The sequence below is a fragment of the Homo sapiens genome, chromosome 9 (genome assembly GCF_000001405.40).
Source record: "Homo sapiens chromosome 9, GRCh38.p14 Primary Assembly".
Taxonomy (NCBI): Eukaryota; Metazoa; Chordata; class Mammalia; order Primates; family Hominidae; genus Homo; species Homo sapiens.
Genome location: NC_000009.12, coordinates 254,691 through 272,890, shown reverse-complemented (window position 1 = coordinate 272,890; position 18,200 = coordinate 254,691). Strand labels below are relative to the sequence as shown.

Genomic DNA, 18,200 nt, shown 5'->3' with positions numbered 1-18,200 from the left:
GCTGGAGCTCTCTCACAGAGGAAGTGAATATTCACTGCTGGTTTTACAAACCATCTCATTTGTCAGATTTATCTCACTTGGCACACATCTGGCATTTAGTGCTCAAATAATATAACACATATAGGCACACTCAACAATTGGCATTGATATAAAAATGTAGGCAATCTTCAATTTAAGAGGAAATGTGTTTTAAAAATGAAGGTTTAGGGCCAGGTGCAGTGGCTCACTGTAATCCCAGCACTTTGGGAGGCTGAGGCAGGAGGATCGCTTGAGCCCAGGAGTTCAAGACCAGCCTGGGCAACATAGCGAGACCCCTGTCTCTACAAAAAGTACAAAAATTAGCCAGGTGTGGTGGCATGCGCCTGTAGTCCCGGCTACTTGGGAGGATGAGGTGGGAGGAGAATCATCTGATCCTGGGAGGTTGAGGTTGCAGTGAGCTGAGATCACACCTCTGTACTCCAGGCTGGGTGACAGACTGACACCCTGTCTCAAAAAAAGAAGGTTTGTACATACTGTAACAGGATATGAAGCTCCAGATAGAGCAAAATTATGGTGACAGAAGTGAGTCAGAGATTGCGTGAGTTGGAGGGTGTGGCCTGGGGAGAGGAGATTGTAAAAGCGCGCTGGGGAACGCTTTAGGATAAAAGAAGTGTTCTATATCTTGACTGAGGAAAGGTTAAGTGACTCTAAGTTGCCCAAGTTCACCAAATTGTACACCTAAAATGTGTGAATTTTATTATATGTAAATTATACTAGCAAGAAAATTATTTTACAAAAAGGAGGTCTGTAACTTGGCATTTCAGATTTTGGAATATGCTTTTCCAAAAAAATGCATACTACAAATGGTGGTAAGTTTTTGGGCTAGCCCTTCTCCCCCAAATATGAACCATAATTTGGATGAGACTGAGTCACCTGGAAGCCCACCTAGTCTAGAGACATCAAAACCACAGCTCCCAGAGGTTCTATTATGTACCCTAAGTACCGGTTGGCAGAGAGAGAGAGGGATATTGTCTGATGTCCAGACACAGTCACAGAGTTAGGATCTGGTGACTGGAGAATGTGAGGTGATGGTAGGAAGATCTAAGGAACAGGAGGCAAACACATACCCTGGGCACTTTTGCACTTGACCAATCGCTAAGTAAACCTGGAACTCATACTTACTAGTTGAAGAGAGGGGAAGCCAGAGGTACTTATGCTCTGTCGATGGTACTGGCCAAGGTTTGGTGGGAGAGTAAACTGTTTCCTTATTTCCGCTGAAGAATACCTTGGATTAAAATAGAAAAATCTAAATGAAATGATTATTTTAGGAAATCATCACAATTTTAGATGCAATCTTTGATATCATGTTATAAAACGTAGGCCTTGGCTGGGCAATGAGCAGAACTGACTAAGATACCTTTTCAGTGGCCTGTTAGTGGACATCGTAGTTTTTGTCAGATAATACATACCCTTGAGAAGTTCACAGAGGCCATGATGCCTGCAGTCAGGTCCTGCCCAATACTGGAAGGATGATGACAGAAGGAGGACTTTGAGGCCCAAGAAAAAGATCCAGGGCATTTGACTCCTTCTCCCCCAGCCATTCAGAGTTTTCTCTATGTGAGGATGTCTGGTATCTGACTAGAATCCTTTAAATCCTGAGCTGCCATTTTGATCCAGCCATTCTCATTTCAAGCAGCTGAACCCTTTTGGCTGACTGGTTGCTACAACAGAGAACACCAGAGAACTGTTGTATGAATACTTCTACCTCCCTGTAGGCACCTTCGATGCTACAGGAATTCCCAATGATTGTATTTTTTCCCAACTGCTCCTAGTTCAGTGATCCTTTGCATCACCCATGTGGACAATGCTCAGCCAACACTTTAGGGAGCCATACACATGAGAGGAAATTGTTCCCCACTGTCTACTCACACCTGCTGGCATGTGACTGCTGGCCAGTGATACCCCAGCTTACAAAAAGGTTGACTTCTGAGCACTTATCTGTTAGCCATTTGTTTGGAACTCAGAGCACGTTTTCTCATTACATCATTGTGTTGGTGGTTGGATTCTCAGGCTAGTTCACAAAAGTGTATTTAAACCACAATGAGGCCAAAACATACAATACCAATACCACTACTGAATATAATTAGAAACTAACAGAGATTACTGAGGATCAAATGAGGTCACATATTTTAAACATGCTTTGTATCCAACAAGGGTATATATAAATTTTTAAACATTGTAACTTTAGATGTAATACTTAAATATTACAAATGAAGCGTATTATGTTTTCTCTGTGAAAACGTGTGCTAGGGCATACTTATTAACTACCCAGCATGATGAGGTTTCCTACATGGTTTGCTTTGCTCCCGACCTTGGCAATGAGTTACACCTAGAAAGGCAGGAAACTGGGCTCTTGTCCCAACTTTGGCATCTATTCTCCCTCAGGAGCACCCCAGTTTCCTTTCAAGATGCCAACACTCATGCTGTGCACTGTCTAGGCAGAAACACAAATCAAAAGAGTGGGCACATAACTCACGGCAGGACAAGTGTCTCTCTTTCCCAGGATTCTGAATGACAAATGGAGAGAAGATTGGAAGAATAAGACTGGAGCACCTTCATCCTAGTGGTGGCCCGTTACATGATGAGGCAAGGAAGTGTGAAACCCCAGAGGAAGCTGTAGCTGCAAGCATACATTTTGCTCCTTAATTTTCTACAGCGTTTTCTTTATTTAATTTTTTAAAAGTATAAGGAAAAACTAGGATAGGAAGTAAGTATTCTACTAGCCGTGAGGGAAATGGGAAATGCAGATCAAATCACAATGAGTTGCCATTTCACAACCACTAGGCTGGCTATAACAAGAAAGAGGGGCAATAACAAGTGTTTGCAAGGATGTGGAGAAACTGGAGCACGCATATGCTGTTGGTAGGAGTATAAAATGGTGCAGCCATTTTGGAAAGCCATCTGGCAGTTCCTGAAAAATTTAAGCAGAGCTCCCATGTATCCCAGCAATTCCACTCAAAGGTATTTACCCAGGAGAAATGAAAACATACTTCTGGCAGTGTGTGGTGGCTCACACCTGTAATCCCAGCATTTTGGGGGGCTGAAGTGGGCAGATCACTTGAGGTCAGGAGTTCATGACCAGCCTGGCCAACATGGTGAAACCCCATCTCTACTAAAAATACAAAAAAATTAGCCAGGTGTGGTGGCGTGTGCCTGTAATCCCAGCTACTTGGGAGGCTGAGGCATGACAATTGCTTGAACCCGAGAGGCGGAGGTCACAGTGAGCTGAGATTGCTCCACTGCACTCCAGCCTGGGTGACGGAGCAAGACTCTGTTGCAAAAAAAAAAAAAAAAAAAAAGACAACCACACTTCCCCACAAAAACTTACACATGAATGTTCGTAGCAGCCTTATTCATAAAGGCCAAAAAATGGAAAAAATCCAAACGTCCATCAACTGATGAATGACTTAACAAAAAGTTGTATATCCACACAATGGAAAATTACTCAGCAATAAAAAGGAAAAGAGTACCTATATACACCACAACATAAATGAACCTTGGAAACATTATCCTAAGTGAAATAAGCTAAACCAAAAGACCACATGTTCTATGATTCTTTATATGAAATGCCCAGAATTGCAAAATCTATACAGACAGAAAGTAGATTTGTGGTCACCTAAGGTTGGGGATATTGTAGAGAAATGGAGAGTGGCTGCTAATGAGTTTGGGGTTTCTGTTTGGAGTAATGAAAATGTTCTGAAATTGATTGTAGTGATGACTGTGAATACATTAAAAATCACTGAACTGTACACATGGGTGAATTTTGTAGTATATAAATTATATCTAAATAGATATAGATAGGTGTACGTGTAAATATTCTACAGAGACAAAAGTGAAGGCAAAAAATTAGTGTGACAACTAGGAATGAAAGAATAACCTCAGATTTTGTCTCCAAGTGCTTGATAGACTGATTTTAATTATAAGTTGGACAGTCACCAATGTTTTAAAAACCAGCAGATTAGACCACTGTCCAAAACAAAGGTCTATATTGCATGAGCAACAATGTGTCTTGTGTTTGGCACCACAGGACTCAAACCAACACTGCAATCATTTATTTGCTTACTTGAAAGAGGATCATAAGCCATGGAGGGCCAACACAACCAAGCCAAAGCCTTTTTCTGTGATCAAGCTGACCTTTTTACAGATAAGACTGACTTCTCCTGCGACTGCTGTGTCCAGGTCTTCCCCTAAGAGCTCTCAAATAACATGTCTTAGCTTCATGGCCACTCTAAAACTGGTCCTATTATACACCAGAGTGGTCTATCTGAAATAAGAATATCTGAAAATGTTCAGGAAAGAAAGTGGCACTGTGAGAGGATCAAAGAGGCAGGAAGGATAGGGTCTTGCTTTCATTTTGAAGCAAGATCTGTTGTCCTATGTCAAAACTCTAGTATTTTTGTCATCATGAAATCAGAATGTTCCTGCTCTCTAGCCCTTCTTAAACAGGGTCAACTGGTATTTCTGTTCCAGTCGTCCACATACAAGTTTCCAAATTCAGAACTACACAACTAATCTTCTTTCTTGACTCTTTGAGCCTAACCCAATACCTAATAGCACTCCTATTTTCTCTCCCTACAGAATCAATTATACAGAAGGCAATTAAACCTGTCACTTCAAAACTGTCAAATACAAACGAATGGTTTGTCCTTAAAATGAAAATAGTGAATCATTCCACGTGGAAAAGAATTGCTTCATATCATTTGAAGAACTTCAAAATAAAATATCTCTAGTGAGGCCCTACACACATATTAAGCTAGCAGAAATAGGCTGGAATGATAAAATTTCATGTTGGTCAAGCTGTGGGAAAACCAGCATGCCTCACACCCCTGGTGGGGTTGTATATTGGCTCTGTGTGTCTGGAAAGTAATACTGTAATATGCAACCAGAACTATGAAACTGCTGTTACTCTTTTATCTAACTATCTCGCTTTGGGAAATATACACCGTGGAATTCATACAAACAAAAATATAATTTTGAGCAGAAATGAACATAAGAATTCTGTATATGATAGCATGATAGCAAATAATTAGAAATAACCAAAGCATCCCACATTGGAAAGAACACTGAACAAATAATACTACAAAATATATGGGATATCATTTTTCCATTTAAAATGACAAAAATATAAATTAGGTTGACCCATGGAAACCTGCATATAAAGTAAGCTACAGTAAAAAATAGTATGAGCAACTAAATACAAACACACAACAGTATAACAATATACGTGGAAATATACTACAAGGATCAGAAATCCTTTCCATAGTCAGAAAGTAGTTTAATAACTACCTCATTCAGGTCTGTCTCCTGTGAAGTTATGTAAGTTCATAATTTTAAAAAAATCCATATGGCTGGGCACAGTGGCTCATGCCTGTAATCCCAGCACTTTGGGAGGCCAAAGCAGGTGGATCACTTGAGCTCGGGAGTTTGAGACCAGCCTGGGCAACATGGTGAAACCCAGTCTCTACAAAAAATACAAAAATTAGCCAGGTATGGTGGTGTGTGCCTGTAGTCCCAGCTACTCAGGGGGCTGAGGTGGGAGGATTGCTTGAGCCTGGGAGGTTGAGGCTACAGTGAACTGTGTTCATGCCTGCTGCACTCCAGCTTGGGTGACAAAGTGAGACCCTGTCTCAAAACAAAAACAAAAACAAACAAATTGCATACATATAAAATAGTGTGCAGACAGAGCGTACTACTTGGGATGTTTAAAAGTTATGTAAATGTCAGCTATTAAGTTTCCTAATATGGAACTTCAGTCCCAAAAGAACATATAGCACCCCAATGTCCAAATCAACCTTCTTCATCTCTACCCTGGTCCTAGTGAAGGGGGACATCTGTCTCCACAAAAAGGAACATAGCCAAAGCAGGTGTTTGCACAGGTTCCGTTTCCATGCAGGTACTGTGTGTGGGTTTTATTTTCCTCTACATTTGATTCTTAGACCAAATTTGACATGTCCAAGATAAGTTTCATGATGTTAGATTTATATCATGATAATATTTCCTTAATGAGCTAAGATACCCTTCTTCTAAGGAACTCAAAATAGTTTATAAATATTATCCTCTTTATTCTCCCGGAAGGGAGCCTTGGGATTTATTTAAAATGTCAATACCCATTGTGACTAAGGAGTCAGAATGGTGGTGATGGACTGGTGGTAAGGAGTGGGTAGAGAAGCTCTATGTTTTTTTCAGATCAGCAGATAATTATGATATACAATTGGGACTACAAACCACAACTAATCATAGCGTAGAGCTTGCAAAGTGTGGCTGCTGGATCATTTGCATTAAGTCATCAGCTACTTAGATAAAAATTCGAATTCCTGGACCTACCCCAGTCCTGTATTAGCATCTCTTGTGGTATAGCCTGGAAAACTGTATTTTAAGTCAGCAATTCCAGGTGATTTTTATGTTCAATAAAGCATAAGATTCACTGATAGTGCAAGACTGTGAAGGAATGGTTGGTTCATTCATTCATTCATTCATTCATTCATTCCACACTGAGAACACACAAATTGCTGGGCTCTCTGTTGCTGTTCCTGGGAAGCCTGATCCAGTGGGTAGGTGGGAGGAGGGCAGATGAATAATTTAATACTTACAATATAATATGGTAAGTATTCTATTACAGGAATATGCACAGTTCCTTGTTAGCAAAGAGGAAGGCGTTACTAATTCTGCCTAGGAATGTTTAGGGAGCTTTTAAAACAAGATTTCTGAGCCAGATTTTGAGAAAAAAATTCGTAAAAGAAGTTCTAATGGAGAAGACAATGCACGTTAAACTTTTTAACCATTTCATGATATGTAGACATCAGTTTTTCTCATTCTCACTTTAAGTATTTTAAACATCATGCTGCCTCATTTCTTTATAAAATATGTGTCTAGAAGAATAAAGAAAAAGAATGAAAACTCATTGACAGAGTCCTGAGTTTTGCCATTTGCCATTTGCTTGAGTTTAAGCACATTAGTTGACTAAGGTGGGCCTTAGTTTCATTATATGTAAACCAGAAGGGCTGGGCTGTATAGTCCTGAGCATCTTTCCAGCTCTAACAGGTGAAGATGCACAAGAATCTCCAAGCAGATCAATCAGCACCACGAGCTACTCCAGCAGCTGTGCTAGGAAACCAAACAGCCCTGGAAGGCTTCTCCCTGGCTTTTGACCCTCAAGGAAAATTCTTTCATTATCTGCTGGTATGGCCGGCAGCCAAAATGGCTGGATGGATTTTAAAACTGATTTAAGGAAAAAAAAACTTTGTCTATAAGTATTGAAAGAGGTTTGGGTCTCTTGAGGTTTTCCTGAATCTGACATGTTTTAAACAATAGTGAAAGGGGTGGGGTAAAGAAAAGCAAATATATAATTTACTCTTGGTAACGAACGACTGTAAAACACTCCAAAAATACAGTGTAAAGTACAAAGCTAGTGATACGTATTAATGACAGACATTTGTGGGTGTACCTATGCATGCAACCACAACACACAGTATAATTAAACCTTGCAAAATAGCCATTGTTTCAGGACTAGAAATGATTTACATCAAATAAGCAGTGAAAGGTTGTTACACACCCCTCTCCCCAAACTTCCTAAGTTACAAGGTTAGGGCAGGGTAGTATTTTTTTAAAAATCAAGGTTTAGGCCGGGCACGGTGGCTCAAGCCTGTAATCCCAGCACTTTGGGAGGCCAAGGCGGGTGGATCACCTGCGGTCAGGAGTTCAAGACCAGCCTGGCCAACATGGTGAGACCCCGTCTCTACTAAAAATACAAAAATTAGCCTGGCTTGGTGGCAGGTGCATGTAATCCCAGCTACTCGGGAGGTTGAGGCAGGAGAATCGCTTGAACCTGGGAGGTGGAGGTTGCAGTGAGCTGAGATCACGCCATTGCACTCCAGCCTGGGGGACAAGAGCGAGACTTTGTCTCAAAATAAATAAATAAATAAAAATCAAGGTTTAAAAATTTGTTGCATGTAGAAAAACTGACTTTGAATGATGCAGCTATCAAAGGGTTAGATCATTGTGCATGGCATGGATAAGCTCTGAAAACACACATCTATCTCAAGAGTGAGTAGTTCCTGGAGTTGACCACATAAAAGAAATCTAAGGCTTTTTCTGAGATGCATTCTTGGATGCTTTTAGTAAAGTGCACTTTTAAAAGTGTACAAAATGAATTTCTGTAGCAAACTTTATGTATCTATATATCTACACATATATCTATAGATCTCTATCCATAACTGTATCTCCATACACTCATATACATATATGCATACATATTTTCAGCCATAAAGTCTAGAATAAATTCCTTGTAAGTTCTTCAGCCTGTGGCCTCACAATGGATTATTTCAGGTTTTATCGTTTCTCATATTCTCTATCTCTTCTCATAAACAGACAAGCCATAACTGTACAACTTCCATAAAACGGATTCAACAGGTGGAAACATGACTACAAAGAAAAGTTTGCCCCTTATTTGGAAGGCATGGAACTTATGTTTCTTCCTCACAGGGGTGTCCCAAATCCCTTTCACTGAGAAAATTCCTCTGAAGACAGTAGAATGTTTATTAGATGACTTAAGTGTTTGAGGGTTCCAGCAGCAAGACTAGAGAAGGATTTCTCACTGTCTTCAGAGACATCTCCTCTCCCCAGCTTTTATATGTCATCATATAAGTTTCCTTCTTGATATAATCACCATCTGCTGATGAAGCAGCATAATCACCTAAAAGAACACCTGTAACCATTTAGTGTCTTGTGTTTAAAGAAAAGAGAGTCTTTCCAGAAAAGTGTGTTGAGTCATAAAGTAACAGATGTAACCTGTGTAAGCTGGATCCCAAAGGAGGAGGAGAGATGAAACTGGAGCAGAAGTAATATTTAAAGAAATACTGGCTGGCAAAAATACCAGACGCAGCTTCATAAAGTTCTATAAATGCCCATCAGAATCAATACAGAGGAAATCAAACCTAGACACATCATAGTAGAACTACTGAAAGTCAAAGAGAAAAATCTTTAAAACATCCAGGGAAAAGACACATTATCTTCAAAGTGTAATAATGCAACCAACAAAATTAACTTCTCAATTGAAAAAGTGAAATCCACAAACCAATGCAATGACATCTTCAAAGTGCTGAAATAAAATAACTAACAATCTAGAATTTTCTACCTAGTGAAAATATTCTTCATAAGTAATGAAGGAAAAATATTTTACCAGATAAACAAAAATGGAGAGAATTTATCACCAGCAGAGCCATACTAAAATAAATAGTAAGGAGAGTTTTTGAGGCAGAAGAAAAGCAATCCCAAAGGGAAACACAGAAGTGCTGAAAGCATTGAAATACACCAAAAGGGTAAACATAAGTAAATCTAAATGATAGTGACTGTGCAATATAAATATAATAATGATAATAATGTGAAGTTTAAAATATACATAGAATTAAAACATCAATGATACACAAAAGGTTTGAGGGGTAAACGGATTTCATGTGTTTTAAAGCCCATATTATATCATCTGGGAAATGGTAAAAGTACTAATTAATACTAGGATTCTAATAAGTCAAACATGTATTGTTGTAATGACTATAGCAACAAGAAACAAGTGGGCAAAATGGAAAAAAAAACCTACAGTAGGATTGAACATTTATACCCAAATATATCAGGTTTTTTTTTTTTCCTTTTGAGATGGAATCTCCCTCTGTCACCCAGGTTGAAGTGCAGTGGTGCAATCCCAGCTCACTGCAACCTCTGCCTCCCCAGTTTAAGCGATTCTCCAGCCTCAGCCTCCTGAGTAGCTGAGACTACAGGCACCTGCCACCACGCCCGGCTCATTTTTGTATTCTTAGTAAAGACGGGGTTTCACCACGTTGGCTAGGCTGGTCTTCAACTCCTGACCTCAGGTGATCCACCCGCCTCGGCCTCCCAAAGTGCTGGGATTACAGGCGGGAGCCACCGTGCCCTGCCTATATCAGTTATTAAATGTAAACAGATTAAATTCTCTAATTAAAAGACAAAGGTCATCAGACTACATTTTAAAAAATTGTTACTTATAAGAAGCACATTTTACTTTTAAAAACAGATTGAGTATAATTAGCTGGCAATGAACTGCACATATTTAAAGTATACAATTAGATAAGCTTTGACATACGTATAGACCCATGAGACCATTACTACAATAAAAAAGTTTCTTCATGCCCCTTCTTAATTTTTACCCTCCGTCTCCTGGTAACTACTAATTTGCTTTCTGTCACTGTAGATCCTTTGCATTTTCGAGAATTTTACATAAATAGAATCATACAATATATCTCTTTTTTTGGTCTGGCTTCTTCCATTCAACAGAATCATTTTGCAATCCATCTATATTGCACTGTGTATTAGTAGTTTACTCCCTTTTATTATAGAGGAGTATTCCTTTGTATGGATATAACATGGTTTTTTTTAAATCCATTCATCTGTCTATGGACATTTGAGTTGTTTTCAGTTTTTACCTATTACAAATAAAGTTGCTGTAAACATTTGTGTTCAAATCTTTATATGGATACATTCTTTCATTCCTCTTGGGTAAATGACCAGTTAAAGTGTTTTACAACATGGTTGTATACTCCCATAATCAGTGTTCCAGTTTTTCCATATGTTCAACAATACTTGGTGTTGTTAGTATTTTTCATTTTAGCCATTATACTAGACATGTTGTATGTGGTGGTATCTCATTGTGTTTTTAATTTGCATTTCCCTAATGACTAATGATGCTAAGAAAGTTTTCATGAAGAGACACTTTATTTATTTATATTTAACTTTTATTTTAGGTTTAGGGTTACATATACATGTTTGTAACATAGGTAAATCGCGGTGTCTTTCTTTCTTTCTTTCTTTCTTTCTTTCTTTCTTTCTCCTTCTTTCTTTTGACACATTTTAAATATAAGGACATAAAAAGACTGACAGTGAAAGAATTTAAAAAGTTATGAAACCTAGCCAAAAGAAAGCTGAGGTAGCTATAGTACTATCAGACAAAATGGACTTTAAGAAGCATTACCGAAGAGAGAGACATTTCCTAAATAATCAAAGGGCAATCCACCAGGAAGACACAACAATTCTAAATATGTATGTACCAAGTAATATAGGCTCAAAATATATAAAGCAAGAACTGCAAAAGTAGAGGAAAAATATTACATCCACAACTACAATAAAAGTTTCAAACATACTTCTGTTCTATCATGCAGATTAAAAAAACCCAGAGATACACAGAGCTTGAACATGATAAACAGACTTGTGCTAATTGACATATACAGAAAACACTATGCCTAACTTCAGAGTACACATTCTTCTTGCACACATTAAACATTTACATATTGACCATATCCCCGACCATAAAACAAATCTTAACAAATTGCAAAGGTCCAGAAATCATATAGAGTAGCTAGTCTGATGCCATGTAGAACTAAACTAGAAACCAACAAAAACATACTAGCTCTAAAACATCTAAATATTTGTTTTTGCAAATAACATAATTTTAAGCATATCTTTCTTTCCATTTATGTGCCTGGGCTAAGTAAGTGGATTTTAAAAAATTATATAAAAACCAAAAAGAAAATAGCCAGAGAAGAAAACTACATGTAATATTTAGACATAGTTATATAAGCTATTCTATTTTTATTTTGAGCATGTAAGATATTTTGCAATTTTAAATATAAAAAGTATAAAAAAGCATATTGTACAATGTCTCCCTCCTACTCCTGTCTGCCAGGTACCCAGTTCCCTCTGCATAGACAATCTAGGTAATAATTTCTTTTTTTTTTTTTTTTTGAGACGGAGTCTTGCTCTGTCGCCCAGGCTGGAGTGCAGTGGCACGATCTCCGCTCACTACAAGCTCTGCCTCCCGGGGTAATAATTTCTTGTGTTTCCTTCTGTGCATATAGAGTTTATAAGCAAATACATGTATACATTCTTTCCCACATTTTTATTTACACAAATGGGAATACAGTACTTGAGAGTCGTCTATGTTGTAGTGTTCACCCATTGTTCATTCCTTTTTATTATGGAGGAGTATTCCACTGTATGAATACCACAATTTCTTTATCTGTTTGCTGGTGATCTTCATTTTGCTTTATTCACTTAATAGATAAATACATAATAATTCCCTCATTCTTTTTTTACAGCTGCATATGTATTCTACTATAAAACTGGGCAATAATTTCTTAACTAGTCTCTTTCATTCATTTCTGTTGTTTCTAGTTTTCTGCCAGCACAAAAAAATTCAGAAAACTGTACATGTGAACTCATACATGTATAAATATATCTGTGGAATAAAGTCCTAGAATTGGAATTGCTGGGTGAAAGTGTTTGTGTATTAGTCCTTCAGAGTATTTTACCAATTAACACTCTAAGCAGCGATATAAAGAAAGTGCACAAAATACTTTCAACAATTTTAAGGAGTTACTGAATTTACTGGCTATTCTGCCCATTGTTATCTGTAACTATCCTGAAGAACCAAGAATCCATTTATTTGATAAGCAAAACCAACATTTGCATTGAGGGGCTCTTTTCTTAACTTTATGGGCAGGAAGTTGCTATCTAGTAAAGTTAATCCCTTTGTTTACAGGGTAACTGTAAGACTCAAGACAGTATGGTTACCTTCTGGTGAGCTGAAAATTTCATTTGGGCATACTAAGTTTGAGGTTCTCATGAGGACTCCAAGTGGCTGTCAAGTTGGCAGTTGGATAAACAGGTCTGGAACAGAAACAAAGTCCCAGTTGCAGATGTGAAGTTGGCCAGGCTTGAGAGGGCAGGGCTGAGAGGTCCACACCTCCCCACCCATGGTTTCTTGCCCATGTCCCTAGCAACCCATATCTAGTTTACCAAAATGGCTATATGTGGTGCCCACAATGGTGTGGTTATAATCTGTGGTCTGGGAACAAAGCCACATAGCCTGGCTAAACAACTAAACCAATCTCTCTCACTCTGAGCACCAGTGGTCATTCCTTTGTTTTGGCTTTCACACATCTTTCATGAGTCTAATCTTTGAGGAAAACACAGATAACAAAAGCTCTCGACAAGCTGGTCAGAGAAGATCTTGAAAGCAGCTCCTGGGACCACCAAACAATTTGTGGAATGAAATTTTGCCAAATGCATAGACTAAAAATAGGTATACTTCTGGCCATTAAGAAGAACTTACTGATTATTAGGATTGCAGAAGGTCGACTCATTTTTTGTGTGTGAAAACAGAAAATGATGCCACTATTTACTGAGTGCTTACATGACACAGGGCTCTGTGCTGAGCACTTGATGAGCACCTCAGTGAATCCACACAGCAATGCTATGAACCAGGTTTATCATCCCTATTTAACAAATGCAAAACTCAGGGCTGGAAATGTCTGGAGGATTTGAACCCAAGACTATCTGACTCCAAAGAACATTCTGTTAGTTACTATGCTTATTATATGGGTATAAGCTTAAAAATGCATTTAAATCTAAGTACATTATTTGAAAACCTTCCATGTTTTTAAATAGTGTACTTAAAAACTAGAAGGAAATACTACTATTCACAGTTATGTTAGAGAGGTGGGAAAATAGAATTTTTTTTCTTTTTTGAGACAGGGTCTTGCTCTGTCACCCAGGCTGAGTGCAGTGGCGAGATCACAGCTCACTGCAGCCTCAAACTCCAGGACTTACGAGATCCTCCTACCTCAGTCCCCTGAGAGTAGCCAGGACTACAGGCATGTACCACCATACCTAATTTTTAATTTTATGTCGAGATGGGTCATGCTATGTTGCCCAAGCTGGTCTCAAATTCCTGGATGCAGGTGATCCTCCTGCCTCAGCCTCCCAAATTGCTGGGATTATAGGCATGAACCACCACACTCAACCGAGAGTTGTTTTTTTTTTTCTTTTTCTAAAATGTTTGTGCTGTGGTTACCATAGATTTATGACAGAAATTGTAAACACACATACAGCTTTTTAAACTATTATGAAAGTATCTTAAGAGTCTCTTCAGGGCCAGATATGGTGGCTCACGCCCGTAATCCCAACACTTTGGGAGGCCAAGGCGGGCAGATCACCTGAGGTCAGGAGTTCGAGACCAGCCTGGCCAACGTGGTGAAACCCCATCTCTACTAAAAATACAAAAATTATCCGGGCATGGTGGCACATGTCTGTAATCCCAGATACTCGGGAGGCTGAGGCAGGAGAATTGCTTGAACCCGGGAGGCAGAGGTTGCAGTATGCCGAGATCGTGACACTGTACCCCAGCCTGGGCAACAGAGCAAGACTCCATCTCAAAAAAAAAAAAAAAAAAAAAAAGAGTCTCTTCAGGCTCCTTTCATCATTACCATGTTGTTTCTAAGTCTCCTGGAATTTTGAAATAAAACTATTCTCAGCATACTTTGAGCTCTTGCACCCACTCCCTCCTCTACCTGGATTCAGTTAAACTCAACACACATTGTTGGATGCTGTTGATTAAAAACACCTCATTTCTCCACTCTGATTTGTGATTTATCTAAGTTATTTGTCCCAGCATAGCCAGCTCCTTGGCCAATTTAGAGGCCACATGCTGTATATTCATGAAAGGGCCTATAATGGTGCTATTTATTTTCAGATGTGCTGGCCAAGGCAGTGAATTAGCAGCATGTCTGTGTGACTTAGTGACGTGACTTCAGTAAAGACATGGAGAGCCTTCCAGCCTCTGCTATTCAAGCTGATTGCAGTTGTGAAATACACATGCCTTTGCTATAAGGGGAAATGGAGCAGTCCTAACTTCCTCCTTCTTTGTGAGTTTGCTTTGTTAAATAAACTATGGAACTTATGGAGGTGGCTGAGAGAGAAAGTTTTTGTTTGCCCTTGAACACTGCTTCAACCTGTGGGGGACAACTGAACTAAGCTAAGGACCATCAGGTAATTGTTGTTGTATTTTCATGCACACTCTCTATTGCAGTGGTTCTCAAAATGTGGTCCTGGGACCAGCAACATCAACATCCCCTGGCCAAGCTAGAAATGCAGACTATCAGGCCTCCGCCAGACCTACTGAATCCTAAACTCTAGGGATGGGCCCAGCTATCTGTGTTTTCACAAGCCCTCCTGGCTGGGCGCGGTGGCTCACGCCTGTAATCCCAGAACTTTAGGAGGCCGAGGTGGGCAGATCATGAGGTCAAGGGATCAAGACCATCCTGGCCAACATGGTGAAACCCCGTCTCTACGAAAAATACAAAAATTAGCTGGGCTGGTGGCACATGCCTGTAATCCCAGCTACTCAGGAGGCTGAGGCAGGAGAATCGCTTGAACCTGGAAGGCTGAGGGTGCAGTGAGCCGAGATCGCGCCACTGCACTCCAGCCTGTCGACAGAGTGAGACTCTGTCTCAAAAAAACAAAACCAAAAACAAACAAACAACAACAACAAACAAAAAACAAGCCCTCCAGATGATTCTGTTGCAGGCTTACATTTGGGAACCACTGGTCTATTGCTGGCAGAAAAATTCCAGCTCTACCTGCCAGCCTTCTCTTGCCCTTTCACCATTCTCCCTCAGTGACATAGGACTGTAATCACCCTCCCTCAGTCTAACTAACGCTGACTATCTAGTTAATTTGAAAATCAAGATTCTAACAGACATCCATTTAATGATACCTGCTTGCTATGTAGCCAAATTTAACTAAGATATTCTACTTTGTACAAATAGTTAATGTGCCCTCAAATAATCACTTCTTCCATTCCCTTCTTCCCCAGTCCCAAACCATCTCCATCTTTTCTCAAAATTTATTTTAGTTTGGAGGATGGAAACAATGCTTCTTAAACCAAAGACACTGCACTGTTCCAAAGTTATGAAGCTATTAATTGTTGACTGTTATTTACTTTAAGAAAAAGCTCTGATGTGGGAGGTGGAGTCAGTGCCTGGAAGGGTGAATATTTGGAGAAGGAGAGCAGGCTCAGGAAAGTTGTAGAATGACGAGAATCTCTTAGTTGAGAACAGTAGAAAGATGAGACATAAGCCCAGATGTCTGACATTGATTTATTCTTTCAAGTATTCATCGAGTGTGCACTTGCTCAAAGTTCTGGGGATACTGCAATGAGGAAAGCAGACAAAAGCCTCTGCCCTCATGAAGCTTCTATTCTGATGTGCACTGAAGCCTGAGCTTCTGCCACATTCTTTTGTATTGAGACTGCCCTATCCAGCGATCCTTTCAGCTCAGGGTGTTTTATCACTATAGGTACCTGAGACAAGAAAAATATATGGTGCCTCTATAGGAGGGGAGGAGATGACCAGAATGAGGGAAAAATTCTTCACAAGGAAAAGTACCCAGACCCCACCCCAGCTAACCAAATTTAGTTATTCACAGAGCAAAGGAAATCTCTCTGAGGCTTCTAAATTTGACATCTTTATGGGTTCCAGGAATCATGCACATTCAATAAAGCCAAATTTATCCTCATAACAGCTCCCTCATGGGATAAGTACTACCCTCATTTTATAGAAAAAGAAGCTGAAGCAGAAACGAATTGGGTACCGGATCAAGTTCTGAAGCAGAGCCTGTTCCGACCTAAGAACCAAGTCTGCCTCTTGCAGGATTTTCTTGCCTGTATTGGCATATCGATGCTCACTTGGCTCTAGCACTGAGCCTTTTCCAGAAGTAAGGCTCAGTCTTCGGCCAACATTCTCCAGGAAGCCACCATGTCCTTTATTGTTCTGCAAATATTCTTTCCTGCAGGGCTCAGAAAGAGCCTCGTTCTTGTGATCTATCCACTATTTCCCCTATGAATCCTAATACTGTATCCTTAATAAAATTTCTATCTAGATATAAAATAAGTTCCCTTACTCTTCCCTTACTAAAGAGTTGGTCATGTTAGTGTGATAGATGCAGAAGTAATAATCTCTTAAATCACTTCTTAATAAATGAGACTACATTCTGTGCACTAAACAGTTATTCAAGATGACAACTATTAGGATATTTGTTTTGGTGAAATCGTATGGCCTGAATTACGGATCAAGCAGGTATTTTAAATCAATAAGCCTGAATAAAAATACCAACCCTTCTAATTTTGAGGGGAAGAGGTATTTTTCTCTATGTGCAATATTAAAATAATACTATGTTTGTTGTATAAAATATAGCAAAATTTACATCAATGAGTATAAATTATTCTTCATATGAAGAAATGATAAGAGACTAGAGGACATGTATGGTAAAGTTATGTACGGTAAAGTTATTTGAGCTGTTTTTTTTTTTTTTTTTTTTTTTTTGGAGATGGAGTCTTGCTCTATCCCCCAGGCTGGAGTGCAGTGGCGCGATCTCGGCTCACTGCAACCTCCACCTCCTGGGTTCAAGTGATAATACTGCCTTAGCCTCTCGAGTAGCTGGGACAACAGGCAAGTGCCACCACGCCTGGCTAATTTTTGTATTTTTAGTAGAGATGGGGTTTCACCATGTTGGCCAGGCTGATCTCAAACTCCTGACCTCAGGTGATCTGCCCGCCTTGGCCTCCCAAAGTGCTGGGATTACAGGCATGAGCCACCGCGCTCTGCCTGTTATTTGGACTTTTTAAAAGAGACATGGCAAATGTGAATATTATTATATACAGAAATTTATTTCCTTCTGCATTAATTGGTGATTTCTTTCTTATTACCTGTCTTCAACTCAAAACAGTCAAAAGAGTCTCAGGATCGTTATAAGGATGATCTAAAGACATTCTGTTTAGACTCCTAGAATACTCAAGATACTTATAATTGGGCACATATATGAAAACCTTTCCTTTTATATATTGAGACTGTTCTCTTTTTTTCTTTTTCTTTTTTTAGAGAACTTAAATACAAAACCTCCTGATATTCAAGCTAATGCTGTAACAACAAAGTTAACTTGAGCAAACTTTGAACAATTCCCTTGCAGGCCCTGTTCTGGAATCTCTCCAGTGGTGACCCTCAAACTTTAGCATACAAAAATAAGAATCTGCTAAAGAACTGATCAACCATGCAGATTTCTGAGCGCCACCCTCCTGAGATTCTGATTCATTGGTTTGAGCACAGCTAGAATCTGCATTATAATAACGCCAAGGGTTCAGATGTAGTCCACCTAAGGACACTCTGAGACAAGCAACAACTGCCTTGTGAACTTCGAGCCAATGGAAAACCCGACTGAGAAACCTGTCTCATCATTAAGCCAACTTTATAATCTCAAGTCGTGATGCATACTTGGTGCTCACTCAAATGGAAGTAGAAGGAGAA

At 39.3% G+C, this 18,200-nt stretch overlaps 1 protein-coding gene across 8 annotated transcripts in view; it reads right to left on the bottom strand.

Annotated features, from left to right (window-relative positions):
- Positions 1 to 18,200, bottom strand: part of DOCK8 (dedicator of cytokinesis 8) — a 253,999-nt gene that overhangs the window by 192,365 nt on the left and 43,434 nt on the right. For 5 of the 8 annotated variants that reach the window (XM_017015173.2, XM_047423927.1, XM_011518045.4 and 2 more), the window contains exon 2: positions 1,162 to 1,264. The exons of 2 other annotated variants lie outside the window; for them this stretch is intronic. Coding sequence is in view for 1 of the 6 variants with exons in the window: in NM_203447.4 (NP_982272.2) it covers positions 1,162 to 1,264 (103 nt within the window). In the remaining 5 variants the exon portion in view is untranslated. Of the gene's footprint in view, positions 1 to 1,161; positions 1,265 to 12,633; positions 12,730 to 18,200 lie in introns of all 8 variants that reach the window. One more of the 8 variants, XM_047423932.1, reaches the window with a different exon arrangement.